Genomic DNA, 27882 nt, shown 5'->3' with positions numbered 1-27882 from the left:
CAAGCACTGTTGCCCCTGTCTGAAATACCCTTTCCTCACTTGTCTTGCAGTGTCCTACTCATCGTTCAAGACTCAGCGCAAGTGCCACCTCTGCTGGGGAGACTTCCCAGATGTCCCAGCCAGGGGTTGTGGGTCCAAATTGTCTCCCCTCCCACCTATTGTCCTAATATACCTGTCCATCTTCTTTAAGGATGTGGATTTCCTGAGGCCAGGGACCATGTCTTGCTCATCTCTGGATCCCCCCAGGTTTGCCACACAGTAAGTGTTCACTAATTATTGACATAATGAATGAACATTAAACTGGTATTCAAAAATCTACAAAACCTGGGATGCAGTACCAGACATGGACACTAAGTGCCACTGTACAACATGGGCTCTGCTCAGACTTGAAAACAGGTTAGATTCTGTAAACTGGGTGGGTGCCCACTTAGAGATGTTGGAGGTTTTAAGCCCCTGATTATGTGAGGGAGATGAGAGGCGGCTGCTGGTTCCATAGGTGCCTCATGAGAGTGAGGAACCAACCTGAGCAGCTCCCTTCATTAAAGCTGGGCAAGGGATTGGAAGCTGTTTCATTTTTCATTTTTGTCTCTCTCTGTCTGACTATATTTTTGAGACAGGGTGTTGCTCTGTGACCCAGGCTGGAGTGCAGTGGCGCGATTATGGCCCATTGCAGCCTCGACCTCCCAGACACAAGCGATCCTCCCACCTCAGCCTCCCTAGTAGCTAGGACTACAGGCACATACCATCACACCCGGCTAATTTTTGTATTTTTGGTAGAGACAGGGTTTCATCATGTTACCCAGGCTGGTCTGGAGCTCCTGGACTCAAATGATCCACCCGTCTCAGCTTCCCAAAGTGCTGGGATTACAGACATGAGTCACTGTACCCAGCTGGAAGCTGCTTCATATCCTTGTTTTTTCACTTGATTGCACTGTGACCTTGGGAAAGACCCTTCACTTCCCTGAGCCCCTGTTTTCTATTCCAAATAAATGGAACAATAAATGCCAAGCTCTCAGGGCTGTTGTGAAGATAAAATTTGATCAGGTAGTGCCTGGCACATTGGAGATGCCCGAGAGACGCCAATTCCCTTCGGTCTCTCCTCTCCCTGGGGTACCTTTATCTGAACAGTGATTAAGCACCAAGGGACGATGGGAAGAGATTCAGTATGAAATCCACTAGTCCTTAGTCTGAGCACTTACCTGGTAGCTTAGGGCCAGTGAGGCATTGGGTGCATGTCTTAAGCCTTCCAGGCCTCAGTTTTCTCATCTCTAAAGTGGGTTAATGCAAGTAGGTACCATAAAAGGTGGTTTTGGAGATTTAAAAGGAAAATACAGGTAAAGCTTTTTAGCACAGTCTCTAGCACATAAAAAGACTTAATAAATGTTGGCTCCCACCATCACTGTTATCATCAAAACCATTATAGAGGCCAGGCGCAGTGGCTCATGCCTGTAATCCCAGCACTTTGTGAGGCCGAGGGCTGGATCACCTGAGGTCAGGAGTTCGAGAACAGCCTGACCAACATGGTGAAACCCCATCTCTACTAAAAATACAAAAAATTAGCCGAGCGTGGTGGCACATGCCTGTAATCCCAGCTACTTGGGAGACTGAGGCTGGAGAATCACTTGAACCCGGGAGACGGAGGTTGCAGTGAGCTTGCGTCATGACACTCCAGCCTGGGCAACAAGAGCAAAACTCTGTTGTCACACACACAAAAAAAACCCCCAAAAAACAAACAAACAAAAAAACCATTATAGAGTAAGCCCTTTCCCATGTTCATTAAATGGATGGATGAATGCAAAAGTGAATGAATGAGTGGACAAACCTCTCCAGGTAGATCCTACTCCAGGTACTGGGCAACAAGCTGAATATGGCCTGAACTTTCATAGTTTCACCCCCCATCCTCCAACCTTTGCTCCTTCTGCCTGGAATGTCCTTCCTCTTCATTTTCTGTTAAATAAATTCTAAAATTGATGTGGGCTACCAGGGGCCATCGACCACAGGTGGCCTCATGAATGGCTCTTCTCCTTGAGTTCTTGGGGGACCAGTGGGATCCTGAACCTGTGTGCTTTGGGGTAGCTGCCAAAGGAGGCCACCTCCCCTGGGGCGTTGGAACTGACGGAAGCAGCCAGGCCTGGGTCTGCACAAGGCCACCGCCATTCATCAGTGGCCTCCAGAAGCCATCTAGCAACGCAGTTGTCAGCTCTGGACTCCAGGCAGGCTGGGAAATCCCAGTGGGGCTTGGGGAAGGCCAAACGGAGGGCCCGCTCCTAGAGAGCCCTTTCTGAAGAAGGAAAGGAGTGGGAAAGAGGTGGAGGTGGGGGCCACACAGGCCTGCAGGGCTCAGTATCTGACTTCCCTTCCTAGGAAGACTGGAGCATTCAGGAAAGAATCTAATAGCAGACACAAGGAGGATTCCTGTGTTAGGTAACAGCCGGCTGTGGACTTGCTGGAATAAATCCTACCACCTGCAGCCTAGCTGTCCCTTCCTGGTGGTGGTGGCTGGCATATCACAGACTTGTCTGAGAGGTCAGGGAGAGACATGACTCTTGGTTCTGCTCCTACCCCTCTGCCAGCACCTCCTCTAATATTTTCATCAACTCCGCTTTCTTCCCCTCCTTAAACCCTGGCATTCTCCAGGATCCTATCTTCTGGTTCTTCCTCTGCACACTCTCCTGGCTGCTGTTCTCTATCCTCCCTGAACCCCAACCCCTTTGCCCCAGTAAGCACCACACCTACAAATCACAAACCTGCATCTGCCCCAGGAAAAGGCACCTCCATCTCCTAGGAGTCACCCTTCACATTTCCTGGGTCCTCCGGGCTTTAAAATATAGACTTTGCTGGCCGGGCGCGGTGGCTCACCCCTGTAATCCCAGCACTTTGGGTGGCTGAGGTGGGCGGATCACCTGAGGTCAGAAGTTTGAGACCAGCCTGATCAACATGGAGAAACCCCGTCTCTACTTAAAATACAAAATTAGCCGGGCATGGTGGTGCATGCCTGTAATTCCAGCTACTTGCAAGGCTGAGGCAGGAGAATCGCTTGAATCCGGGAGGCAGAGGTTGTGGTGAGCCGAGATTGTGCCACTGCACTCCAGCCTGGGCAACAAGTGCGAAACTCTGTCTCAAAAAAAAAAAAAAAAAAAAAAAGACTCTGCTGGCATTTGCCATCTCCACTGCCAACTCCCCCAGCCCATGCTACCTACCATCATTTCTCACTTAGCGTCCCCTGGGAGCCCTGTACAGGCGCTCCCTGTGTCTCCATGTCTCCCTGGAATGCATTCTCCACACAGCAAGCTACAGGGATCTTTAAAGGAATCTGAGTCAGATTGCATAATTCCAGAGCCATCCGATCATACTTTAAATCGAATCCAGACTCCCAAGGCTGGAAGGCCCTTGACAATTAGCCCAGCCTCCCTCCCAACCTCCTCCCCTGATGCTCCCGCTTCTGCTTCTGCCACACTTGCCTTGTCTGTTTCCTGAATGCAGCCCACACATCCCTGCCCTAGGGCCTTTGCACCTGCGATTCCTGATGCCTAGAACAACTGTGTTCCCACCTGCGCGTTTGGTGAACTCCTAGCATCTTTCAAGACTCAGCTTAAGTGTCACTGAATGAAGGCTTTCCCTCACTCATGCCAGGACTGTGGGCCCCTATTGGTGCCCTCCTGGGACCTTTGCTGACCCTTCTGTGGCTAGTGTCAAACCTTGTCTCATGGCTCTCAGTGTCTGACTCTTTCTCCCTGGACTGTGAAGTCCCTGAGGCCTCCGAGCCACCTGGCACCCTCAGGATTCCTGGTACCCAGCTTAGTGCCTGACCCAAAGCTGGTGAGAGTGAAAGTTGACTGAACCAGTGTCCATCTCCCCACTGGCAGATGCCAAGCTGTCCCTCTCTGTACCCCAGGCCCTGGGGGAGGGACTGAAAGAAGTAGGGCCACGTCTCATCACAGGTGTACCTCAGGCTGTCACACCTTCAGCCTCTTACCACCTGACCCCCCTCACCATTTATGCCTAAACGTTCTCCATGGCAGGGACTGGTCCTGTCTACCTCTTAAAGGTCATCCCAGAAGCATCCCTGGGGAAAAAAATCTGGGAGGCAGGAGAGCCAAGTAAAGAGTGAGACCATAGGTACAAATCCTTGCTGGATCCTCTTGGGCAAGTTATGGAACTTCTCCGTGCCTCAGTTTCCCCTTCCATCCAATGGGGTGAAGAACCATGTGGTGAGGATAAATGAGATGCTAGAGGTGACGTGCTTAGCACATAGCAAGTGCTCATGAAATGTGAGCAGATGGTAACCTTGGCTGCTGCAGATCCTGCAGGTCCTGCCAACCCCAGCAGCGGCCTGGGGATGCTCGGGCAGCGGCGGAAAGTAGGGCAGAGCTGCCTCCCGGTTCACACCTCCAGCAGCCTCCCCAGGCCTGCCCGCTGTGGTAGGAAATGGGTCGCAGGCAGGACCTGCCCTGGGATTCCTCATTTCCGTTGCCCGTCTTTGGGGACTAACACTTTCAGTTTCATTTAATCACAAAGCTTCTTAATTAGTTTTTTTTTTGCCTTTTGGGGTTCTGAGTTGCTAAGCTATTCCTGCTGCGGGGAGCAGAGATGCTGGCTCCTGCAGAGCCTGGGAGCGGCTGGTTTGGTGACCCAGGACTCCTGCTCCTTCGAGGCCCTCCAGGGCCCACTGAGGGGTGGGGCTGCTTCCCTCACACCACCCACAGCTCAGGCCCTCGTGTGTCCACTTCCTGAGTCATCCAACAAACAGCTCTTGAGTACCTACTGTGTGCCAGGCGCTGGGGACACAGCAGAGATCATGGCAAGATCTTCACCCTCAAGGAACTTACTTTCTAGCTCAATGTAGAGGTAGTAAATACCCAATTACTCCATAACACTTAAAAAATGATAATTGTGATAAATGCTATGCAGAAGGGCAAGACACAAGGAGAAGATGAAATGGGGCGCTGGATGGCATCTGGGCAGTGATGGAGGGCTTCTCTGAGGAGGTGATGTTAGGCTGAGATCTGGAAGGTTGAGTCAGACCTGGCCAGGTGGAGAATGTAGGGATAGGAGCAGTTTAGACAGAAGGAATTCATCCATTTATCTACCCATCCATATCCAGCCACCCATTGGTTCCCTCTTTTTTTTTTTTTTTTTTTTTTTGAGACAGCATCTCACTCTGTCACCCAGGCTGGAGTGCAGTGGTGCGATCTTGGCTCACTGCAACCTCCGTCTCCTGGGTTCAAGTGATTCTCCTGCTTCAGCTTCCTGAGTAGCTGGGATTACAGGTGTGCACCACCACGCCGGGCTAATTTTTGTATTTTCAGTAGAGATGGGGTTTCACCATGTTGGTCAGGCCCGTGATCCACCCACCTTGGCCTCCCAAAGTGCTGGGATTACAGGTGTGCGCCACCATGCCCAGATAATTTTTGTATTTTTAGTAGAGATGGGGTTTTGCTATGTTGGCCAGGCTGGTCTCGAACTCCTGACCTCAGGTGATCCGCCTGTCTCAGCCTCCCAAAGTGCTGGGATTACAGGCGTGAGCCACCGCGCCCAGCCAGTTCCCTTTTTCATTCACAGGCTCCATCACTCATGTCTCTCATTCATTCACACAATTCATTCCTTCAGTGTCCATGGTCCCCTGCGGGAGACACAGGCACCCTCCGCCCGCATGCGGTGCTCTAAGAGAGGGGCAGAGTCCATGTTCACTTGTGGCGGAGGTGACATTTGGGAGGGACCCTGAAGATTCCAACAGGCAGAGATGAGGGGAGGATGAGGGAAAAGGGTGGGCAGTGAGGTGGGTGGGTGGGGGGACGGCAGGCATGAAGTCCCAGGAGGTGTTTGGGGGCCAGGGCACAAGGGAAAGGATTCATTCACTTGTTCATTCAACTGATATTGATCAAGTGTCTCCTTGGTGCCAGGCCTGGATGCCGGGGAGAAGGTGGTGAATGGAGACGTAGCCCCTGACCTCTTGGAATGCACTGCCTAGGGGACGGGATGAACACGCACGCAAGCAATGGTAAGACGGCCGGCAAAGGCTGGGTAAGTGTTTGAAAGGCCCTGGAGACCGGCCTGGTTAGCCGATCCAGCAGTTAACAGAGTGGGAAGGCCGGGCTGGGCTCTAGAAAGTTGGGCTCCAGCAGGACTGGCTGCAATTGACTGCACTCTTCCTCTCAGCCTTCAGGGAGAGCCCTTCCATCCATCTGCAGTTCCCCGTGGGCTTGCCCTCAACCAAAGGCCTCCCTGTCAGTCATTGACACCTAGTCTGAATGGAAGCCCCGCGATGCCTTTCCCAGGTGCCCTTGCAGCCTCTGTGGCTGTTTGTTGCCTCCTGGAGCAGGTAAGAGAAGTGATCATTCAAAGGAGAGGCTTCCTGGGGCCTCTGATGTCCAGCCATGTGGGTGGGCAATTGTGCTGTCTACCTCCTGGCCCCTGTACTGTGCAGACCCCACATCCACTTGGCCTCCCATCCTGTCACCATTGCCCACTGTGCAGCAGGCAGGGCAGAGGAGGAAGGCCAGGGACACACATGGCCTCTGCTGAGGGCCAGGTCCCATTCTGGGTGCTGTGCTGCCTTTTCTCCGTAACCTGCATAGCTCCCCGCGAGGGGTCTCACCCACACTCGACACAGGTGGAAACTGAGGTTCAGAGGGAGAAAGACGCCTGCCCAAGGTCACATAGCTGGTGAAGGACGGAGCTGGGATTTGAACCTACGGCTTCTCACTCTTAGTCCAGTGATCCTTCTACCATCCCAGGGGCTTCCACCCAAAGGGAGTAATTAAGGTCTGATTTAAAAGCTCAAAGTGAAATCACCTCTCCCCATGCAAAGGGCATGCAGGCGAGTGAAAGTGGGTGTTTTAGCAGGACTCAGAGCAGGGCAGGCGGAAGCTCTCTTGAGCTGTTTCAAATCTCTGTCGAAGAAGAGGTGAGTGACTAATTATCACTTCATAAGTGCAGCTTTTTGGAAACCCAGTTTTTCCCAACATCAAGCCACTGAGGTCAAGATGAAAGGGTCGTGGTAGGGAAAGGGATGTGACTGTTGCATTTCACTGAGATTGCTGGGTGTATCCTCCAGACCAGAAAAGTGAGATCCAGAGAGGTCAAGGCACCTGCCTGAGGTCTCACAGTGGGAAGGAGCGGAGCTGGATTGGGAGCCAGGCAGCCTGACTCCAAGGCCAGTGCTCTTTCTGCTGCACCAGTGCGTCTCATCTTGCGGTGGGGCAGAACTCCCAGGCCTCAGCCTGGGAGAGGGGCCCTCAGGGAGGTGGGTGATGGGGACAGCACCCAGCCAATAGGTACCTTCTCATAGTACTGCAGCTCATAGTCCAGGATCACGCCATTGGGCTGGTCCGGCTGGGACCACGACAGGGTAATGCTGTCCACGGTGCGGCTCACCTGATGCATGATGGACACTGCCGATGGAGCTGGAAGAGAGGCCAGAGGTCAGGGATCAGGGAGGCATGAGAAGGTGCAGCTTCTGGCCCACCCTCAGAGGTACTCGGACAGGTGGGGCACTGTGGGATCAGAGAGGGAAGGGCATCTGGCTGAGGCCACAGAGCCAGTCTCGGGGAGCCGACAGGGGGCAGAGGGGCTCATGCAGGGCTATGGGTGCTGCTGCTGAGCTCTCATGGGGCACCTTCAGGTCAGACACTGACGACTTCACCAGCCCTGGGGAAGCTCAGGCCACATCAAGTTGAGAGACAGTAGAGATAGAAATGGTTAATTGTATGTCATGTGAATTTCATCTCAATAAAATCAATCAGTTATTTCCGCCTCCCATTCCTCCCACCAGTGCTGTGAGTGCTCTCACAGAGGTGGTTAGATGAAGAGACAAGCAGTCAGGGGGCTGTGTGCAGTGCTAGAAGGATGCTTAGAAATACCTTAGTACATGGCTGGGTGCAGCGGCTCACATCTGTAATCCCAGCACTTTGGGAGGCTGAGGTGGGCAGATCACCTGAGGTCAGGAGTTCAAGACCAGCCTTGCCAACATGGTGAAACCCCGTGTCTACTAAAAATACAAAATTAGCCAGGCATGGTGGTGCATGCTTGTAATCCCAGCACTCAGGAGGCTGAGGCAGGAGAATCGCTTCAGTGCGGGAGGCAGAAGTTTCTGTGAGCCGAGATCATGCCATTGCACTCCAGCCTGGGCAACAAGAGTGAAACTCTGTCGCAAAGAGTGGGGAGAAGAAATACCTTAGTACAATTCCCTCATTTGATTTTATGATTGTTATTTTTTGAGACTCTGTTGCCCAGGCTGGAGTGCAGTGGCATGAACACAGCTCACTGTAGCCTCAACTTCCTGGGCTCAAGTGACCCTCCCACCTCAGCCTCCCAGGTAGCTGGGACCACAGGTGTGCGCCACCATGCCTGGCTAATTTTTTTTTTGAGATGGAGTCTCGCTCTGCCACCCTAGCTAGAGTGCAGTGGCATGATCTTGGCTCACTGCAACCTCTGCCTCCTGGGTTCAAGCGATTCTCCTACCTCAGTCTCCTGAGTAGCTGGGATTACAGGTGTGCACCACCACACCTGGTTAATTTTGTATTTTTAGTAGACAGAGTTTCACCATGTTGGCCAGGCTGGTCTCAAACTCCTGACCTCAGGTGATCTGCCTGCCTCAGTCTCCCAGAGTGCTGGGGTTATAGGCATGAGACACTGTGCCTGGTGTAATTTTTGTAGAGGCGGGGTTTCGCCATGTTGCCCAGGTTGGTCTCGAACTCCTGGGCTTAAGTGATCCCCTCCTGCATCAGCCTCTCAAAGTGCTGGGATTACAGGCGTGAGCCACCATGCCTGCCATGCCTGGCCCAGTTCCCTTATTTTGCAGTCGTGGAAACTGAGGTCAAGAGAGGGGGTGTGAGCTGCCTGAGGTGCCGAGGTAGGTCCATGGCACACAGCCTGTTCTTGAGTCCTTATTTCATAATGCATCCGGCCTGCTGTCTTTTGCCTCCTTCTCACATGGAGCAAACCTCCAGAAAGCATCACCTCTGTGTAGACATGGCCCTGGGCCCTTTACACACGCTTCCTGAGTTGACTGTTGATGAGAGGGTGTATCACCCCTGCTGACAGGTGAAGACATTGAAGTTCCGAGGTGCACACGGCTTCCTGAGATCACACAGTCAGTGGGGGAGCCGGGATTTGGACCCAGGTCTGCATCTTGCCAGAGCAGTTGTTTGCTCCAGAGTGGGACTGGCCAGAGAGGGACTCTCAATGTGGTCCCCACACCCGTGGTGTGACGCTGGCAAGCCTCCTTGCTTCTCTGGGCCCGAGATTTTTGTGGTCCCAGGAGGGGCTGAGGACTCACCAGGGTGAAGGGAGCACCTCCTGCATTCTTTCCTCATTCCTGGGCGGGTCTGTGACAAGCAGACGTCCTGTCTCAGCCAATACAAGGACACTGGAAAGTGGAGGCTGACACTTCTCCTAGCCCCAAGTCCTGCTCTGCAGGGGCTCTGACCATATGGGATGTGAGTGTGGAGCAGGCCTGGTAGGAGTTCAGGGGAACCTGAACATCAGCTGTGGGGTTTGAAGGCTGGAGCTGACTCACCCATTTCCTGCTCTGTGTCTGTCCCTAGACTGCCTCTCTGCCTTGCTGCTAACTGGCTGTGTGACCTAGGCGATCTGCCTCCCCTCTGGACCTGGCTTCCTCCTGGGCACCCCTGGCCAGGCTAGAAGATCTCTGAGGCCTCGAGGCTCCAATGTTCCCTGCCAGTCCTTCCTCTGCAGCCCTTGACACCGAGAATGAGCCTGGGGACCAGCGTGGGCCTGGGCAGGTCCAGACTCCCCTCCCGCACCCCAAGGAGCTATGGAAAATTGTCCCGAGACACTCCAGATGAGGTGGCAGCACCTGCAAGAAGGACTTAGACCCTGGTCCATGCGGCCCTGATGAGCCTCTGTTCCTTTTACACCCAGGGGAGGCTGCCTGACCCTCAGCTCGGCTCCTTGCCCTGCCAGGGGCATTGGCCTCTTGGGATCAGGGGTCTGGTTGTGTGCTCAGTGTAGCACCTGGCATGTTGTCAGTGCTGTGGGTGTTTGCAGGTGTCACCTGCCACAGTGCACTGAGCATGGACTTGCAGCATCTCATTTAACCCCCTCAACAATCATGTAGGATGAGGGTCAATATCTGCACTTTGCAGAAGAGGCTCAGAGAGGCACAGTGACTTCCCCAAGGTCACACAGCTGGCGAGGAGCTGAGGTGGGCTTGGAGCTGAGTCATCCTGCCCTAGCTATGACCCCCTCTGGGTCTCAAAGCAGTTCCTACTTCCCACCTGCCTTCAGCCCCAGCGCCATCCCTCCCCGTGGAACTGCCTTTGTGAGGAGTTGAGTGTTCTGCTCTCCTGGACTGCCGAGGATCCAGCTTCTTTATGAAGTCCAGGCTGTCTGCCCATCACGGGCTTGTCAGTGGTCGGTGTCCCAGTGAAACAACAAAATAAGGCCCTTCTGGAGTGTCACTGACCAGGGCCAATCTGGGGGCTCATCCCTTGTGCTGGCCCGGGAAGCACCCCAATCCCCATGCCTCCCCACAGCTTCTCTGCCCCTCTCATCCAACCCACAGGGGCTGACCACTGGGTCTGTGTGTGTGGTGGAGGTGGGGGTGCGACAGGGTGCTCTGAGAAGCTAAGGAGGATGCTTGAAACTCAGCTGCCAGAGATTCTGGGAGAGATGCCTCCCACCCCTGCCTCCAGGGGCCTGAGGACAGTTCTGGGGTGAGAGGCTGGGTAAGGCAGCCTCCAGGGCTCCTTGAAATACTGGGTCTGTCTCCCAGAGGGCCGGCCAAGCAGGTGGGGAGGGATGTGTGAAGGGTGGAGTCAGAGGCGTGCTGCTGTCTTACAGCACGTTGATATGTGTTACATTAATGGAGCATCAGACACACAGAGCCCGCAAGGGCAAGGACGGGTGAGGAGTATTTGGATTGCGCTGCTGCCAGGTGTGCTCGCTCACCTACTGCTTCATGCCTAGACCCGCACAGTGCCCAGGTCAAGACGCTCCCATCCAGTCCCTGGCAAGGCCGTCTAGCCTAGCGGTGGGGAGCCCTGAGGGTGGAGTCCAACAGACCCGTATGCAGCTCCCTGCTCCTCCACTCACTCACGTGTGGCCTTAAGCAGGTACTTTTAGCCTTGCTGAGCCTCAGTTTTCACACCTATCAAGTAGGAACCCTCACCTGGCCAGGACGCTGTGAGAAGGCAGTGGAAATGCATGTGAAGGTCTGAGTGGGGTGCTGGGCGCCCCTCAGGAGGGAGACATTGTGAAGAATTCTTCAGTTTGTGGAGTTGCTATGATGCCAACCACATGATACGGGGTGCTGGGGCTCCGGAGAGGAACCTCACAGCATCCCAGCCTTCCAGGGACTTGCAGCTTAATGGGAGGAAGCATACTGTTTTTCAACTAAATGAGTGCCTGTCCCAGGATGGGCACCATGCTAGGCACTGGGGAAGCTGTAAGACTCAGAAGTGGCATGGAGCTCTGGGGTCCAAGCTCCCATTTTAGGACTTGGTCAAAGTGATTCAGCCTTGAACAAGAGCAGGGGCTGCTCCATTCACACTTCTCCCTGGGAGTTCAGCAGAGGCTGCTCCGTTCACACCACCTTCAGGGATTTCAGCAGGGGCTGCTCTGTTCACACCTCTCCCTGGGAATTCATCAGGATCTGCTCCATTCACACCACCTTCAGGGAGTTCAGCAGAGCTGCTCTGTTCACATCACCCTCTGGGATTTCAGCAGAGGCTGTTCTGTTCACACCTCTCTCTGGAGTTTCACCTCCCAACAAAGGACAATTGTAGAATGTATCTCTCTAGATTGCAGCACTTTTAAAACTTGAATGGGCATAAGGATAACCAGGAGAGTTTATTAAAATTCACATTGCTGGCCTCCCCACAACACCCCCCACTGAGATTCTACTTCAGCAGGTCTGGAGTGGGGCCTGAGAATGTGCATTTCTAGCAAACTCCCAGGTGATGTTGATACTGCTGGTCTGTGGACCACATTTTGAGGACTAGTGGATTCAGGGCCAGAGAAAGAAAGTGACTTGTCCAAGGCTACACAGCTGGTAGTGGTAAAGCTGGACTAGAGCCAGGAGCAGCTGAGTCCTGGTCTAGTATATGATCCACCTGCCACGCGGCTGCTTGCAGCCTGGCTTCTGCTGAGCCTGCCCCCCTCACCTGCCTGGGCTACACTCTTTATATACGGCCCTGGAGCTCAGAGGGTCTTGGAGCAGCCATACAAAGAGTTCCATGAGAGGTGAAGAGACAAGGCTGCCGAGGAAGGTGGGGGCCAAACTTCCAGTCCTGAGGCACTGGGGAGCCACAGAAGGACTAGTAGGGGTGGCAACCTGCTCCTCAACTAAAACAAGCTTGTCATTCAGCTTGCCATTCTGATAACCCCCGTATGCCCCATGGTGCCCAGAAAAAGGGAAAGGCCGCGCAGCTAACAGCAAACCACATGCTTCACATCCGTTAACTCACTTCATGCTCCTATCAACCCTACAAGGCTGGTATTACTGTTATACCCATTTTACAGATGAGGACATGGACGCACGGAAGTGTGAAGTAACTTGCCCAAGGCCACACAGCAAGCAGTGGAGCTGGGATTCAAACCAGGCTCACCCAGGTCCAACACATCCTTTCCCCTCCACTGGCTGTGGCTGATGCCGGCTGACCAGGGAGTTCTGGAAACCAGCGGACCTCCGAGGGCCCCTGAGGACATCCTGGTCCAGCTCCCTTCCTGCTGCTGCAGAGCTAACCCCGCCTGGTTCCCGCTGACTCACCTACCACCCACCCGGCCCGCCCCAGCTCTGGGAACTCAGCTGCTGGTGGAGGCAGGTCCCACGCGGCCTTGGGGGTCTGGGCCTGGCAGGCGTAGCTGGCAGGCTTGGGTTACAGGCAGCTAACCTGGGCTCTGATCCCATAAGCCCTGTAACCCCAGGCGTGGCAAGGAGGCAGCATTTGCCAGGAAGATGATCAAGGCGGGCCAGTGGGGGCCAGCAGGGCTAGCCTTTCTCCTGGAATCCAGGGGGATTAACGGCGGAGAAAAGGGAACAGCTGGATGCTCTCCCACCCCTCCTGCTGCCCACCGCCCACCCTGGGGTGTCAGGTTTCCCTGTAAGTTGGTCATCAGGGAATTCTGGTATTTTCAATTACTAGCCGGGCACGCTGACAGGGGGATGGGGTCAGTGGTGCCCTGTGACCCCTGCAAGGAGATGGAGCCCCAGGGAGTAAGCACAAAAGAGGCTTGTGGCCGAGAGGGGCAGGGGGAGGCCGGCCAGGCGGGGCCTGCTTGTCTGGAGCAGGTGGTCAGGGGCCCTGCTGCCCTCAGTGAACCCCAGAGGGGAGTTCAGCCCCTTCCTTGGCTGAGACTTGGGGAAGGAGCCTTCCCTCTGTGTGCCTCCGTTTCCTTCTCAGGGCATGCAGGGGTTGTACGGGGTGGTCTCTCAGGGTCTTCTGGGACTAGGATCCCAGGACAGGACAGGAAGCCAGCAGCCTGTGCCCCTGGTTGCTGCAAGAGGTGGGTGGGCTTGGGGATTGGCTCAGCTTCCCCTCACAACCCGGAGCTACGACCCTTTCACTGGTCCGAAGATCCCTGAGCTCCAAGGGAGTGGGGGAGAGGTCGCTGGGCACAGGACAGCTGGAGACCCCATCCCAAGCCCCAGACTTGCAGATCCCAATGTCTCCCTGATGTCTTCACTCCCTGTTGATGACCCTCAGCGGCTTCCCACTGCACCCAGAATAAGACACAGACACACTACTGTGGCCCACAAGGCCCAGCTGCCTGGCGTCTGCCACCTCCCTCTGCCTGCCCCCTCTCTCCCAAGCTGTCCACACTGGCAGCCTTTCTGTTCTGCCTCAGGGCCTTGGCCCTATGGTGTTTCTGCTTGGAAACCTCTTCCCCCACATCTTCCATGGCCAAATCCTCCTCTTCATTGAAGTCTCAGCTCAAATGTCAACTCCTCCGAGATGCCCTCCTGAACTACCTCTCCCCTCCAGTAGCCCCTTCTCATACTCATTTTATTTTTGTCATAGCACCAACACTATCTGAGGTCAGGGACCTTGTCTCTCATTCAATCCTTTATCCCCAGAGCCTGAAACAGTGTGTGGCTTGGAGTAGGTGCATGACCAATATTTACTGGAGGAAGAAACGAAGACAGGAAGGAGGAAGGAAGGGAGAAAGTGAGGAAGGAAGGAGGAAGGAAGGGAGAAAGGGAAAAGCGGGGACCAGACAGATTCTCCCCTTTTCTGGCGCCCTCAGGAACCCGAGTCTACCGACCTTGTGGGCTGGCCACTAAAACAAAGGCCCCAGGCAGTACTTCCCAAGCAGCCAGCGGAAGGCAGTTTCCCTCTCCCCCAGGCCCTGTGCCCACCCACAGTTGGGAACTGCTGCAGTGACGTGGGGCCTCTTGCCACCAGCTAGCTAACAGTTCCATGACAATTGCTTGTCACTGCGCTAGTCCTCTCCAGGGTCTGTAGCAGGGACAGTTTACTTGGGACGGGACTCTTAGAATTCCCAGCTCATCATGGGACAGCTGCTTTTTGAGTGTTTGTCCCTTAAACCCGTAGCAACGCAGTTAACCCCCGATGATCTGGCTGCAATTCTGGATGACCTGACGATAATTCTCACAACCGAATTTCTGCAAATAAAACTTCCAGAAAGTGGGCCTTTGATTCTTTCTGATGGGCCTCTTAGAGAGTGGTATGGGACAGAAAAAAGGAAAAGCTGACAACTGGTGCTAGGGTGGCACTGCGTATTCTGTGGCTAAGAAAGTTTGAGGAACGCAGAGTTGTAGCCCGTCTGCTTGTGGAGACTCACACTGCACATGTGTTTAATTCAAGGCTCTGAGAAGTCCCGCAGGGGAGACATCCAGTTAACTCGGTTTAACCCAGTGGTCGCAGGCTCATTTGGCCTCAGAAACCTTTTCTCACATGATAGTTCTTAACGTTTTTGGGAACTACCAATCTGTGGAACATATGAAAAAAATAAAACAAAAAACTGGGTCCAGGAGACATTATTATTATTTTTTCCTTGAACTTGAGAAGAGCCCCTCTCTAGGGTGGCAATTGGCTGTTCATGTGCTCATTTGCTCTCCCCTTGATCCAGCATATGTTTAGCAGAGCCTGCCCAGTGCCAGGCCCCTTCGTCACAATCAGATGGAGTAGGGGTTAATCCCTCCCTTTTTACCAATGAGGAAAGGAAGAGACCGACAGGATGCCCCCACACCCCAGGCAGCAGGGCTGAGATGGGGACCCAGGTCTGTCTGACTGTAAGGCCCAGGTTGGTTTCTTCTACCCCTGGTTACCTGGCCCTACCCATAAGTAGCCTATGAGTGGGCTGAGGCGAGGCCCTGGGCTTTGTGCTGGGGAAACATCCAATCACCCATCTCCTAGTGGGTTGTGGAATCGTCTTGACCTCACCTTTGGCCTCCTGGTGGGACAGTCCTACCCCAGCACCTGGACTAGCAAGATGCTAAAAGCCTGGGCCTCAAAGCAGGTGGTCTGGGCAGCCTACCTCCACCTCCTGTGCGTCAGTTTCTCCTCTGTGAATGGGCAAGGAAGGTTAAATGAAGACCTGTTTGTAAAGTGATTAGCACAGGACTTGGCCCAGATTAAGGGGTCAGAGGATGATGTGAGCCAAATGCAGCTGTCTGGGCTGCTCAGATTCTCAAACAGCACCATGAGTAGCTGAGTGCTCTGGAATAGTGGTGGCGGTGAAGGTGAGAAAAGGTGGTGTTCAGGGTTCAGATGCCAGCTGTTCTACTAGGCCAATGTGTGACTGCAGGCAAGTTACCTCTCTCTGAGCCTGGGTTCCTTACCTGTAAAATGGGATGTGGCAGACGCTACAACTATCCATTCTCTCTTTTTCTCAACTTAACAAAATCCTGGTTCTTAGCTAGGTACATTGTGCCCAAATAGAAGACAACATTTTCTGAACCTCTCTGGCAGCTAGAAGTGGCCGTGAAATATAAACTGAAGCATGTGTGGGACTTCTAGGAAGTTTCCTTAAAAGGGAGGGCCCTACCCTTCTCACCCTCCTTCCACTGCAACCTGAGACATGGATGTGATAGCCAGAGACCTTGCAGCCATTTTGGTCCATGAGGACATGAAGCTGTGTGCTGAGGAGTGTGGATCTCTGATGGCTCCACGGAGTTGCTGTACTCCTATCTTCTGACACGCTTCACACATGAGAAAAAGAAACCTCCCTTTAGTCTAAGCCATGCTGTTAGACCAGTTGTATTAATCACCCCCCTGTATCTACACCCTTTGCCCTGTAACTTATGTAGTTCTCTCTCTCTCTCTGACTCTCGCTTGGCCACGTGTCTTGTGGTGGCCAATAGGATATAAGCCAACATGATATAAGCAGAGGCTTGCAAAAGCCCTTGCGAGTGTCTGCCTGCTGCCTTGGTTCCCTGTGATTGCCATGAGAAAACATGCACAGGTGGACTTGCTGGAGGCTGAGACATGTTGGAGCAGAGTTGTTGCTCCAGTTGTCCCCTCCAGGGCCACTCCAGACCAGTGGACAGCAGTCAACCCCCAAACGTGACAAAACCCAAAGAGCTGCCGAGTGACCCGGAGCAGATGAACTACAAACCTAAGAATGCACCTCGCCAAGACCAGCGTTGCTGTCCAGTCGACCCTGAGACTCCCCAGCTAGCTAAGTGCTTCTTGTTCCATGCTGTCGGCTTTGTGGTTAATGGTTGATTGTTAACCAGCACTACTGTGGCAGTGGCTATCTGTTATTTTTCTTCCTAGAATATGCAGCCAAAACCAATCTTAAATGATACTCTAGGTCAGCAATGCCTTCCCTGCAGAATGCTTGGGAGGATCAAAGAGGAAGATGCGCGGAGAGGGCTCGGCCCAGGGAGGGAAGTGCCCTCTCCCTCTATCTCCCTCTCGAACCTCGTGGTCTCAGGCATAAGCACACAGGGGGCTCTCTTGGCCCATTTCTCTCTGATCCTCTTGGTCCCCCAGGGAGAGAAGTAGGTGAGTACACGTTCATGCCAGTTCCAGAGGCTGAGCCATTGTGTGCCCGCCCCACAGCAGGGCAGGAGGATCAGAGAACACAAGTGGCAGAAAAGGCTTTGGAGAGTTGAAAGTCTTTCCACGAGAAAGCCATGTGGAGTGGTGTCACAGACACCCGGTCAGGATGCTGGGGACCTGCTGTGGGATCTTGGGTAGCCACTAAGGAACCTCTGTGGACCTCAGTTTTCTTCTAAAAGGAGGTGTTTGCCCTAGGTGAACTCCAAGGCCTCTACCAACACTGCTGAGTTGTAATTTGATGTAGGTTTAACTTCTGTGATAGGCAGAATAATGACCCCCCAAAGATGTTCACGTCTTAATTCCCGGGATCTGTGAATATGTTACCTTACATGACAAAAGGGACTTTGCAGGTGTGATGAAGGTTATGACCCTTGAGATGGAGAGATTTTCCTAGATTATCCAGGTAGCTTGAACTTCATCTCTTGAGTGCTTACATGAAGAGAACCTTTCCCAGCAGAGAGTCAAAGAACCAGTGAGTTGGAGAGTGGGAAGACTCAATGCCCTGCTGCTGCTTCTGAGATGTCAGGGTTCTGTGGAAGGACCCAAGAGAGGCCTTGAGGAGCTCAGGCAGCCCCCAGCTGATGGTCAGCAAGGGGAGAGAGGCCTCACTCCCACAGCCACGTGGAATTGAATTCTGCTAACAACCCCTCTAAGCAAGAAAACGGATTGTCCCTTAGCACCATCAGAAAGGACACATCCTGCCAACACTGCTTTTAGCTTGATGAGATCCATGCTAGATTTTTTTTTTTTTCTTTGAGATGGAGTCTCGCTCTGTTACCCAGGCTGGAGTGCAATGGCACGATCTCTGCTCACTGCAACCTCCGCCTCCTGGGTTCAAGCAATTCTCCTGCCTCAGCCTTCTGAGTAGCTGGGATGACAGGTGTGCGCCACCATGCCCAGCTAATTTTTGTAATTTTAGTAGAGATGGGGTTTCACCATGTTGGTCAGGCTGGTCTCGAACTCCTGACCTCGTGATCCACCCGCCTCAGCCTCCTAAAGTGCTGGGATTACAGGCATGAGCCACTGCACCCGGCCCACGCTAGGCTTCTGAACCTGCAGAACAATAAGATAATAAATGTGTATTGTGTTAAGTTGCTAGGTTTGAGGTATTTTGTTCTGGCAGCAATAGGGAACTAAGCCAAGCTGCCATGTACTGTCCATCTATGTTCCAGGTGCTGTTCACATTCTTGTTAATGTCCACAACCATCTAGCAAAGCTGTAATGATAGATAAATGCCCATTTTGTAGGTGATGGAACTGAGGCTCAGAGAAATGAGGTCTTCTCACATCCTGGCTACACAGCTTGGAAGGGGCCATGTGGGATGGGGGCTGAATTTGTCAGGCCCCGCTCTGATGCCCTTTCTGCAACATGAGCTCCTAGGATATGCTGATGGTAGAGCTTCCTAAGTGGCTGACCCTGTTAATTACAGGGGGCCTCAAAGGCTGGGGATACCCAGCCAGGCTGTGGTATGGATGGAGCATATGGACTGCCTGCCCCATCTCTGTAGAAGGCATGGGTCTGGTCAACATTGGGCCCTGAGGATGCAGAGATACAATTATTCAGGTTCTGTTACTTCCTGGCCTGGGATAGAGCAGAGTAAGTCACTTACCTCTCAATGCCTCGCTTTCCTTTCATCTATAAAACAGGATGACAACAGGACCTACCTCGTATCGTTGTGAGGATTCAGTGTTAAGGGCTTAGCACGGTGCCTGGCACACAGTTAGCACTTGACAAATGTGAGCCGTTTTGGGGATTAGAGTGAATAGAGAATGATCTCTGTGTTTTAGGCGCCTACCTGTGCCAGCAACCTGGGAGGCACCTTGCATAGCTTAGCTGAAATCCTCACAGCTAAATCCTCCTGTAAGGAGAGGGCGAAGCTATCCATGAGGAAGATGCAATCAGACATGAGCTGAGTGACTTGTCCAAGGTTGCATGCTGGTGAGCGGCCAGGCTTGACTCAAAGCCAGGTTCGGCTGCCTGATTCCAAAGCACAGACCCTTCCCACTACTTCCGGAAGCTGGCAGAGGTGGGGGTGTTCTGGGCTTGCTCAGGGTGAGATCCTTAAAGGGCTTAGGCTGTGTCCGGGGCAGCCCTGGAGAATGGCCAAGGGCGCTGGATAGAAGCCCGGGATCAGTGAAATGCTACACCTCCCAGCCCCCAGGTCTGCAGGGCTGTCTGCTTGTCATTCGGACCTCAGCTTAAACACCACCTCCTCAGAGAAGCTCTCCTCTGACTGCCCACCCTAAGGCTCAGCCTCTGTCCCTCCCTCCTGCCCCTCTCTGCTATGGTCTTGTCTGTGGGTGTGGAGAGGCAGGAGGGTAGCGTGGCTCACTCTGAACAGCCAGACTGACTCCTGGGTCTGCCACTGTCCAGCGGAGTACACCTGAGTATGTGGCATGACCTCTCCCAACCCGTTTCCTTATCCCTCAAGCCCAGCCCAGCCTCCTTCCTCGGGGCCATGAGCACGACTCATGAATATGAGGCAGAAAGGTGCTCTGGAAAGGCAGAGCGTGGTTCAAAGGCGGCATGATGGCTGGATGAAGTCAGAAGACAGTTCTGGCCCCGGTGAATGCCAAGGGATTGCGAGCAAGGCCCAGTCACTTGCCCAGAAGAAACACTTTTTCCTTTTAAGGCAATGAGCTAGATATTTATATATTGAATTTTAGGGTCTGTTTAAAACCGACCACTGAATGCATTTGTCTGGAAATTGAGTCCCCAGCCTTGTTTCCCAGCCCGATTGCACTTCTCCACACCCCACCTCACCCCACGCTTCTCCGAACCCTTCTGCAAATGTTCGCTGAATGTTCACTGTGGTGCAGCCCCCTCTAGGTGCCGGGAAAACCATGGTGAGGAAAAGCAGACCCATTGTGTGCTGCGAGTGCCGATGATGGGGGAGACGAACAAGAACTAAATGATCAATGACACAAGGTAAAATTTCAACCACGGGAACTAGAAGGCCATGGTGCTGGGGTTGGGGAGGGAGGTGTCCCACCAAGTCAGGAAGGTCAGTGAAATGAGCTGAGGCCTGAAGGAAGAATGGGATAAGAAAGCCTTTCCAGGCAGAGGGAACAGCATGTGCCAAGACTCTGCGTCAGGGGAACCTGATACTTAGGAGGAACAGAAAGAAGAATCCCTCCCTCCAGTTGCCTGCTGTACTTCCCTCCCCCAGGCCATCTTCCTTCCTGTATGATTCCATCTCTGCTTGCTAGAAGCCTCTCCATTCTTCAAAGTCAAGCTCAAATGCCTCCTCTTCCAGGAAGCCTTCCAGGACATACCCTTTGCTCATTCCCTAGGAGGATGATTTCTCCTGCCTGTGATCTCCCTCATCTCCCCCAGCACCTCTTGGGCCCTCATCCATGCCATCTTGTATGTAGGCTCTGTGTCTGTGTTTTATTTTTCCAACTAGGACATACATCCTCAAGGGCAGATACTGTGTCTACACTATACTGCAGAACAGTGTAGACTTGGAGTCACATGGTCCTGGGTTTAAATATTAGTAGAAGTCACTTAAGTAGTAGGACCTAGCATAAATGACTCTACCTCTCTGGGCTTCAGTTTCCTCACCTGGCAAAGGGGGATAATGGGGTGGGGGTGTGGTGAGGTTGCACAGCCCCCAGCTGGGCTCTGAGCAGCTGTAAGACAAGGGGCTTGGAATAAAGAGGAGGGGGAAAGACTTGTTATAATTTCAAAAGCCTCAGGGCTTTGAGGGCTTCAGGGGGTTTAGACTTACTCAGACCTGAGTTTCCCAAATTTGTCCGATGGTAAGAAACACCTGACTCACTTGTTAACAATGCATATTCCCAGGGTCTGCGGCTGGGGTTCTGATTCAGCAGGACTGGGGTAGAGAGAAATCTGTGTTCTGGAAGTCATGCTTACATATAGTTCTTATGTACAATTTGGTGGGGAAACTGAGGCCTCAGAGGAAGTGATTTTCACGTGCATGGTAGATTAGAACAATGACCCCAGTTCTTCCTTTTCTGTGATAGGATTAGGTACCCACATCCTTTACCAAGTAAATCTGCAGGGCCCACTCACTGTGGGCAGAGTATACTTCTCCATCCCACTGATGCTGGGCTTGGCCGTGGGACTTGTTTTGGCCAATGAGATATGGTTGGCTCCCTCCATGCTCCTACACTTCACCTTGAGAGAAACAAGCCTGGGGTGGCTGCCAGTCCAAGGAGAATGAGGAGACACATGAAATAGGCTGAACCCAAATCACATTCTGGAGACCTGCCCAGCACAGAGAGCATGGCCAAGATTAGTCAAACCCTAGCTGACCCACACACTAGTGAGTGAGAAAATAAATATTTATTGTTTAAACTACTGAGTTGTGGGGTGATTTTGTTATGCAGCATTATTGCAGGAGTAGCTGACTCATACACTGACTAAATGAATGCCGTTCATTTGCTAATGTCATGCAGCAAATGAACGGCAAAGCCAAGCCTCGGTCTCTGCTCCTAATCCAGTGCTTGTTTCTCATTGCTTCTCTGTCTTTCGATCCTGAGGGCTCTCCCTGTGTGCCTATTCCCCGGAAACCCCTCACGTCCATACTCCGCCCCATCTCTACTCCTGGGTACATCCAGCTCCAGACAGCAGGGTCCATCCCAGCAGCCCAGAACCACTCCTAGCTACAAATAAGCTGAGGCGTCTTGAGTAGGCAGTTCCACCTGCAGAGCTCCCAAATGGATGTAGGAGAGTTCCCCGCAACCAGGGAAAGGGCTCCAGGAGCTTCCTTCTGGCTTCTACCAGTTAGAAAGAGTTCCCTCTCCACCACCCCCTTTGGGGGCCTGGGTTTCTCCAGCTCAGAGCTTTGTCAAGCCAGAGAGACGCACAGCTGAGGTTTTCTAATCTGTTAGGGGTCTTTTCTATCACTTGTTGACTTTTTTTTTCTTCTTCTTCGAGATGGAATCTCGCTTTGTCATTCAGGCTGGAGTGCAGTGGCACGATCTCAGCTCATTGCAAGCTCTGCCTCCCAGGTTCAAGTGATTCTCCTGTCTCAGCCTCTCGAGTAGCTGGGATTGCAGGTGCTCACCACCACGCCTGGCTAATTTTTGTATTTTTAGTAGAGATGGGGTTTCACCATGTTTTCCAGGCTGGTCTTGAACTCCTAACCTCATGTGATCCACCCACCTTGGCCTCCCAAAGTGCTGGGATTACAGGCATGAGCCACTGTGACCGGCTGGTTTTTGAGGGTTTTCTCAGATTGCCTCCTTTGAGTCAGCTCCCTCTGGACCCCAATCTGAGCAGGGCTTAAATCCACCCAGGGCCCCAAAAGAACTATAGGCAGTCAGTCACAAACATACCCTCTCAGCCACAGCAACACCACCAACATTCCCAAACAAAACCACACTCCTCAGACACAAACACACAGACAGGCAGAGCCACATTTGGATGTACAAACTCATGCTCAAATACACAATATCCCCTACCCCTGTCCCCAAGGCCCTGCAGGTTGATACATCCATGCTCACAAATGCATGTATACAGAACCCACATGGCCACAGTCATATGCGTTGTAAACACATGTTCACCAAACACATATGACAGCACACTCACAAATACACAGACTTACATGCGCAATCAGACCCATAGTCAAGCTCAAGGTGCCGTGGACACATCAAGGACTTCGCCCAAGAACTGGAGTCTGTCAGACCTAGTCAATTCTTGCCTCTCACTCTTCCTGGTTTTGTGACTCAACTTGTCTGAGCATCATCTGTGAAATGGGGACATGGATGCTTCCTTCTCAGAGAGGCCACAAGGATGCAGTGAGGTCATGCATGGAAACACCCCTCAACCAGGTGGAGTCAGTTGCTCTCTCCTCTCTCTTGTTTTTACTTAGACAGAATTTTGCTCTTGTCACCCAGGCTGGAGTGCAATGGCATGATCTCGGCTCACTGCAACATTCACCTCCCGGGTTCAAGCGATTCTTCTGCCTCAGCCTCCTGAGTAGCTGGGATTACAGGTGCCCGCGACCATACCTGGCTAATTTTTGTATTTTTAATAGAGATGGGGCTTCACCATGTTGGCCAGGTTGGTCTTGAACTCTTGACCTCAGGTGATCCTCCCGCCTTGGCCTCCCAAAGTACTGGGATTACAGATGTGAGCCACTGTGCCCAGCCAGTTGCCCTCTCTCTTTCAATGTCCTTGGCATGCCCTTCCTCCCTTCTGAATTCCATTTTTTTCTATTGTTCCCTTCAACATTCTACTGGCTGGGTGAAGCAGCTCTTGTTTGTAATCCCAGCACTTTGGGAGGCTGAGGCAGGAGGATCACTTGAGGCCAGGAGTTCAAGATGAGCCTGGGCAACATACAAGACTCCATCTCTAAAGAAAAAATTTCGACTGGTCCTTCAAACTGCAAGTCAAATTCCACCTCCTCCAGGAAGACTTCCTGGGCCTGGACTTCCACAACTGGATCCCTGCATGCTTACCATGTGGGCCCCACCCTACATCAGAAAGATCAGCTCGGGAGCCCAGTCACTTTCCCTCTTGCAGCCTGGCCTCCCTTAGCTCTTCCATGGACATGGCCCTGACCATGCTTACTGTAGGGGTTTGGCAAAGGTTGCTGAGTGAATAACTGAGGGGCACACTCACAGTGCCAACCATGAGATCTTCTACCCACAGATAGCATAATGTCCTCGATAATCTCATGTGGCCCTCAGGTGGGGGGATGAGGCTGGGAAGCATCTCTAGGACTTAGCCTCCTATGACACTGAGGACAGTGGTCCTGGTAGAGAGGGGAGGCTAGGAGCCCAAGTGGAGTGGGGACTAGAGAGAGAACAGGGTGGAGGGGAGACTGTGGTGGCCGGCAACTTCCTTTTTTGCCGTGAAGGAAAGAAGGGTGGGGGGTGGAGGATGACGTGAGGCCACAGAAAAGGTTACTAAAGGTGAGCTTGAGGAGAGTTTTGCTGGAGTTAAGACTGGAGTGGGCTGAACTTCACAGAAAGCACTTGTGATGGAGGTACAAGTTAGGCTGCAAGAGATGACATCTCTGGGCTCTCCTGGGTCTCAGTGAGGCCACGTGACTGAGGCCCTGCCCGTGGAATGCATGCAAAAGAGAAAGATGCTGCCTCTACCTACCTTGCTTCAAACATCATTGCTGCCCTGTCTTCCCTCTCTTCGCACAGACATGCCTGAGACTCAGCTTGAATCATACAGACAAGGAGCAGGGGACGTGGGGAAATGACACGGAAATAACCTGGGTCCCTGAGTCTCTGAGTGGATCAGAGTCACCACGCTGACGTGGACTGCTCACCTCTGGATTCTCCCATGAGAGAGAAATACATTCCACTCCTTTAAGTCACCTAATGTTGGATCTTTTTGTTACAGCAGCTTAACTTTTACCTTCAATAATATGCACTCAACAAATGGGAGCAATTGTTATTAATACCACTACAATGAAGAGGTAGCACTTACTCTCCCAGGTGGACCGATCACATGAAAAGCCTTTGAAAAGAAGAAATCACTCCATAGATGTGAAGGAGTCTTTTGTGAGGACTGCAGGACCCTCCCTGGCACAGCGCGATGGGGCACTCCCCTGGCCCACGTCGGAAGCACTTACCTGCCTGGTTGGTGGTGATGTTCACAGAGGCGAACTGAGGCGAGAAGGGGCTCTGGTCAGTAACGCCGTTCACAGCCTGGATCTCGAAGGTGTACTGGGTGTGGGCCAGCAGGTCACTGATGTAAATGCGTGGCTCGGTCAGGCCTAGCTGGCGTGGTGCGTACTGTACATTGTCCCCGCAGCGGGTGCAGGCACCCCGGCCCGAGCCACAGCTCTTGCAGATGATGTTGTAGACGAGGTCCTCTCGGCCTCCGGAGTCGCGGGGAGGGGTCCACTCCAGCATGAGGGAGGTCTCATTGACACTGGAAATCACAGCCTGGGGCGCGGAGGGGATGGCTGGGGCGGGGGAGAGGTGTTGGTCAGTGGGGGGCTCAGGGGGTACTATTCCCCATGTGACCACTCTGTGCCCGCTGCTCTGGCTCAGCCCCTCTGAAAGGACTTCCTTAAATTCTTTGTCCTGTCTCCCCACCAGAGAAATGTTTCTAGAATACAAGTTAGCCTGCTGTACATCTGCCCAAACCTTTCTCTCCTCCCAGCTTACAAACTGCTCAGTGTTTGTTACTGAGGATAGTATTTTTGCGTTTGGAATTATACCTGCCCAGTATCTATTTTCTCCTTCTTCCTTAGAACAGCCCAGCTTTATTCATGGTGGCAATATGTCCAGCTAAAAGATGGCATTTCCCAGCCTCCTGTGTTTAAGTGCTTGCCACTGATATAGAGCAGAAGTTGTTGACTAGGGCTGTTTCTTTAAAAAGAGACAGACAGCTATGGCGTGTCCCTTTGTCCTTTCCCTGCTTCTGCTGCCTAAAATGTGGGTGATGGCTGGGACTTCAGCAGCTATGCTGGACTATGAAGTGACGTTAAGAACAGAAACAACAGTGGCTAACACCTGTAATCCCAGCACTTTGGGAGGCCGAGGCAGGCGGATCACCTGAGGTCAGGAGTTCAAGACCAGCCTGGCCAACATAGGAAACCCCGTCTCTACTAAAAATACAAAAAATTAGCCGGGCATGATGGCGGATGCCTGTAATCCCAGTTACTCGGGAGGCTGAGGTGGGAGAACCACTTGAACCCGGGAGGTGGAAGTTGCCATGAGCTGAGATCATGATGCCATTGCATTCCAGAGCCTGGGCGACAGAGTGAAACTCCATCTCAAAAAAAAAAAAAAAAAAAAAAAAGAACAGAAACTAGGTTGGGCGTGGTGGCTCATGCCTGTAATCCAGCACTTTGGGAGGATGCGGGAAGATTCCTTGAGCCCGGGAGTTCAAATCTAGCCTTGGCAACATAGCGAGACCCTGTCTCTACAAAAAATTAGAAAAATTAGCTGGGTGTGGTGGTGCACGCCTGTAATCCCAGGTATTCAGGAGGCTGAGGGCAGAAGGCTGAGGGCACCTGAGCCCAGGAGGTTGAGGCTGCAGTGAGCTAGGATTATGCCATTCTGAATGGCAGAAAGAGCCAGGCCCCAAAGGCCATCGTGGATTGCCCATACTGTCCCAGGACTGTCTACCTTGGGCTCCTTTTGGGTGAGAGAATAAATCCGTACAGTTTCAGCCATAGGGCTCAGCTCTGTTACTTACAGCTGAATGCCATCCCTGACAGATACAGGGGTTGTGACGCTGCGTTCTCAGGCAGTGCCTTCCTAGAGGACCTTGGGCTGTGATTCAGGCAGCTGCTGCCAGGTTAGAACACTGGGCAGCCTTTTCTGCCACATATACTACCTGTGTTGCTTCATCTCCTGCCAAGCCTCCCATCCCCTGTCCCTTTGTGAATCCAGACCTTGACTTTATCTTCCATGTGACTCAGCAGAAGGGGGTAAGGAGCCAGATGCCAGCACTGTGGTGTCTGCAAGGTGGGAGCATGGCCACCCCAGGATGCCCCTTTCTTGAGCACTTTTCCATTTCTCTTCCCACCAGGGAAAGACTGGCTGTAACCGGACGGCACCCAATCCTCACTCTGAGCTTTTCTGCAGGTAGACCTGGGACTCGGCCAGCCATCGCCCTTGAGGGGCCCTAGGACTTACTTGTGCAGGGCATGTCCAGGGGGTCCAGGTCTGCTCTGTAGTAGCCATTGCGGCAGACACAGTTGGTGGCCCCTTCAGAAGTGGTCCGGCTGTTGATGGGACAGTGGGTACAGGCCTCATCCCCTTGGTTGGCCTTGAAAGTCCCAGATGGACAACCTGAGAGAGAAGACAAGGAGAGTCACCAGGAAACTGGATGAAGACTCAGAGAGGTCACGAGCCACGCAGCCTCACGGAGGGGCCACACAGCCTCGCGGAGGGGCCATGCAGCACCACTGCTGGAAAATCTCATCTCTTGAAGGGTTTGAAGTCTCCAGGCCCCAACGTGGGAGTTCTAATTCTGTCAGGGCTCCCTAGTTTCTTGTCCGTGAGCTGTCTAGGGCTCCCAGCAATCTTCCCTCACCTATCCCAGCTTGGCTGTGTCATGGTCTCTAGAATCAATCCTGACCTAGTTAGGAGGCACATCTGAAGATGTCTGGGGCAGTGTGCATGGGTCCTGGTCTTGCTTAATAATGTCTGGCTGGGCCCTGATTCTTAGAACTAGATCCTTGGGTTACAGACAATTAAGATGATTATACGGCAGAAGAAAAGTCCTAGGGCAGTGTAGAGAGGTGATGTGGTAGAATAGAGGAGGACACTACTTTTGGAATAAGACCGACCTGGCTTTGAGTACTGGCTAGGCCTTTTACTAGCTGTGCAGCCCCAGACAAGCTGCTTAACTACTCAGACTCAGTTTTCTTATTTGTAAAATTAGGATTCTAAGGCCCATCTCTGCAGGGTCATTGTGAGTATTCTGCTTAAGCGTAAGGCCCATGGCACAAGGCCTTGCACAGTATAGGTGCCCAATGAATATGTGATCAATTTATTAAAATATTAATAAAAGGCGGGCCTGCAGTACCAGGGCCAGCCTAAGGAGGGCACTGCTTGCACTCGGCCCTCATTTGGCTTCTCCCATGGGCTGTGGCCATCATCCCTGATATGGAGTCCACCCCCACTGTAGCTCTGAGTATGAGGTTAGGGCCTATAAGAGGCAACTGCCTTGTGTGCACACATATTCAAATCCACCTTCCTCTTCTTGCTGGCCCTGGGCTGAGAATCAGGAGGCTGAGGGTCTAGGCCCTGCCCCTCTCCCAGCTTCAGCCTGCTGGGTTCATGAACCCAGCTCTGCTATGATACCTGGAAGAGATTGTGCAATGGGTAAGTGGGTGGACAGGAAACAGCTTTGCAACAAACATTTCATCTCCTTGGGATGAAATGCAGCTAAACCATCCACAGGCCCCCAGGCCCTCACCGGGAGTACATTTTATGCCTGG

The 27882-nt window shown here is 52.8% G+C and overlaps 1 protein-coding gene, 1 long non-coding RNA gene and 1 other non-coding gene across 10 annotated transcripts in view, besides 4 other annotated features; 2 read left to right on the top strand and 1 right to left on the bottom strand.

Annotated features, from left to right (window-relative positions):
• Window positions 1–27882, bottom strand: part of EPHB2 (EPH receptor B2) — a 210663-nt gene that overhangs the window by 31736 nt on the left and 151045 nt on the right. For all 7 annotated transcript variants that reach the window (NM_004442.7, XM_006710442.5, XM_047449104.1 and 4 more), the window contains 3 exon segments: window positions 7282–7406; window positions 24553–24888; window positions 26573–26728. In NM_004442.7, the coding sequence (NP_004433.2) occupies window positions 7282–7406; window positions 24553–24888; window positions 26573–26728 (617 nt within the window).
• Window positions 48–253: a silencer, noted in NCBI's record as "fragment chr1:23216005-23216210 (GRCh37/hg19 assembly coordinates)". NCBI's record gives its function as "represses an EF-1alpha promoter that drives an FKBP-Casp9 reporter gene in an ReSE screen in HepG2 liver carcinoma cells {active_cell/tissue: HepG2}" and the evidence as "EXISTENCE:reporter gene assay evidence [ECO:0000049][PMID:32094911]".
• LOC124903874 (uncharacterized) lies at window positions 205–6252 on the top strand. Of its 2 annotated transcripts, none has more exons than XR_007065534.1 (3): window positions 205–258; window positions 5904–6001; window positions 6160–6252. It is a non-coding gene; the product is annotated as an uncharacterized LOC124903874 (long non-coding RNA). The 2 variants fall into 2 exon arrangements; XR_007065533.1 differs by having other exon boundaries at window positions 5904–6024; window positions 6160–6226.
• Window positions 9311–10215: an enhancer, noted in NCBI's record as "H3K4me1 hESC enhancer chr1:23206043-23206947 (GRCh37/hg19 assembly coordinates)". NCBI's record gives its function as "activates a minimal SCP1, AML or CMV promoter by ChIP-STARR-seq in primed H9 embryonic stem cells {active_cell/tissue: H9 hESC(primed)}" and the evidence as "EXISTENCE:reporter gene assay evidence [ECO:0000049][PMID:30033119]".
• Window positions 12464–13063: an enhancer, noted in NCBI's record as "H3K27ac-H3K4me1 hESC enhancer chr1:23203195-23203794 (GRCh37/hg19 assembly coordinates)". NCBI's record gives its function as "activates a minimal SCP1, AML or CMV promoter by ChIP-STARR-seq in naive H9 embryonic stem cells {active_cell/tissue: H9 hESC(naive)}" and the evidence as "EXISTENCE:reporter gene assay evidence [ECO:0000049][PMID:30033119]".
• Window positions 24395–24740: a silencer, noted in NCBI's record as "fragment chr1:23191518-23191863 (GRCh37/hg19 assembly coordinates)". NCBI's record gives its function as "represses an EF-1alpha promoter that drives an FKBP-Casp9 reporter gene in an ReSE screen in phorbol 12-myristate 13-acetate-treated (for megakaryocytic differentiation) K562 erythroleukemia cells {active_cell/tissue: K562(+PMA)}" and the evidence as "EXISTENCE:reporter gene assay evidence [ECO:0000049][PMID:32094911]".
• Window positions 26539–26606, top strand: MIR4253 (microRNA 4253). The gene has a single exon (NR_036214.1). It is a non-coding gene; the product is annotated as a microRNA 4253 (primary transcript).

This window comes from Homo sapiens, chromosome 1 (genome assembly GCF_000001405.40).
Source record: "Homo sapiens chromosome 1, GRCh38.p14 Primary Assembly".
NCBI classification, from domain to species: Eukaryota; Metazoa; Chordata; class Mammalia; order Primates; family Hominidae; genus Homo; species Homo sapiens.
Note: the sequence above shows the minus strand (reverse complement) of the source record. Positions and strands in the feature narration are given on the sequence as shown.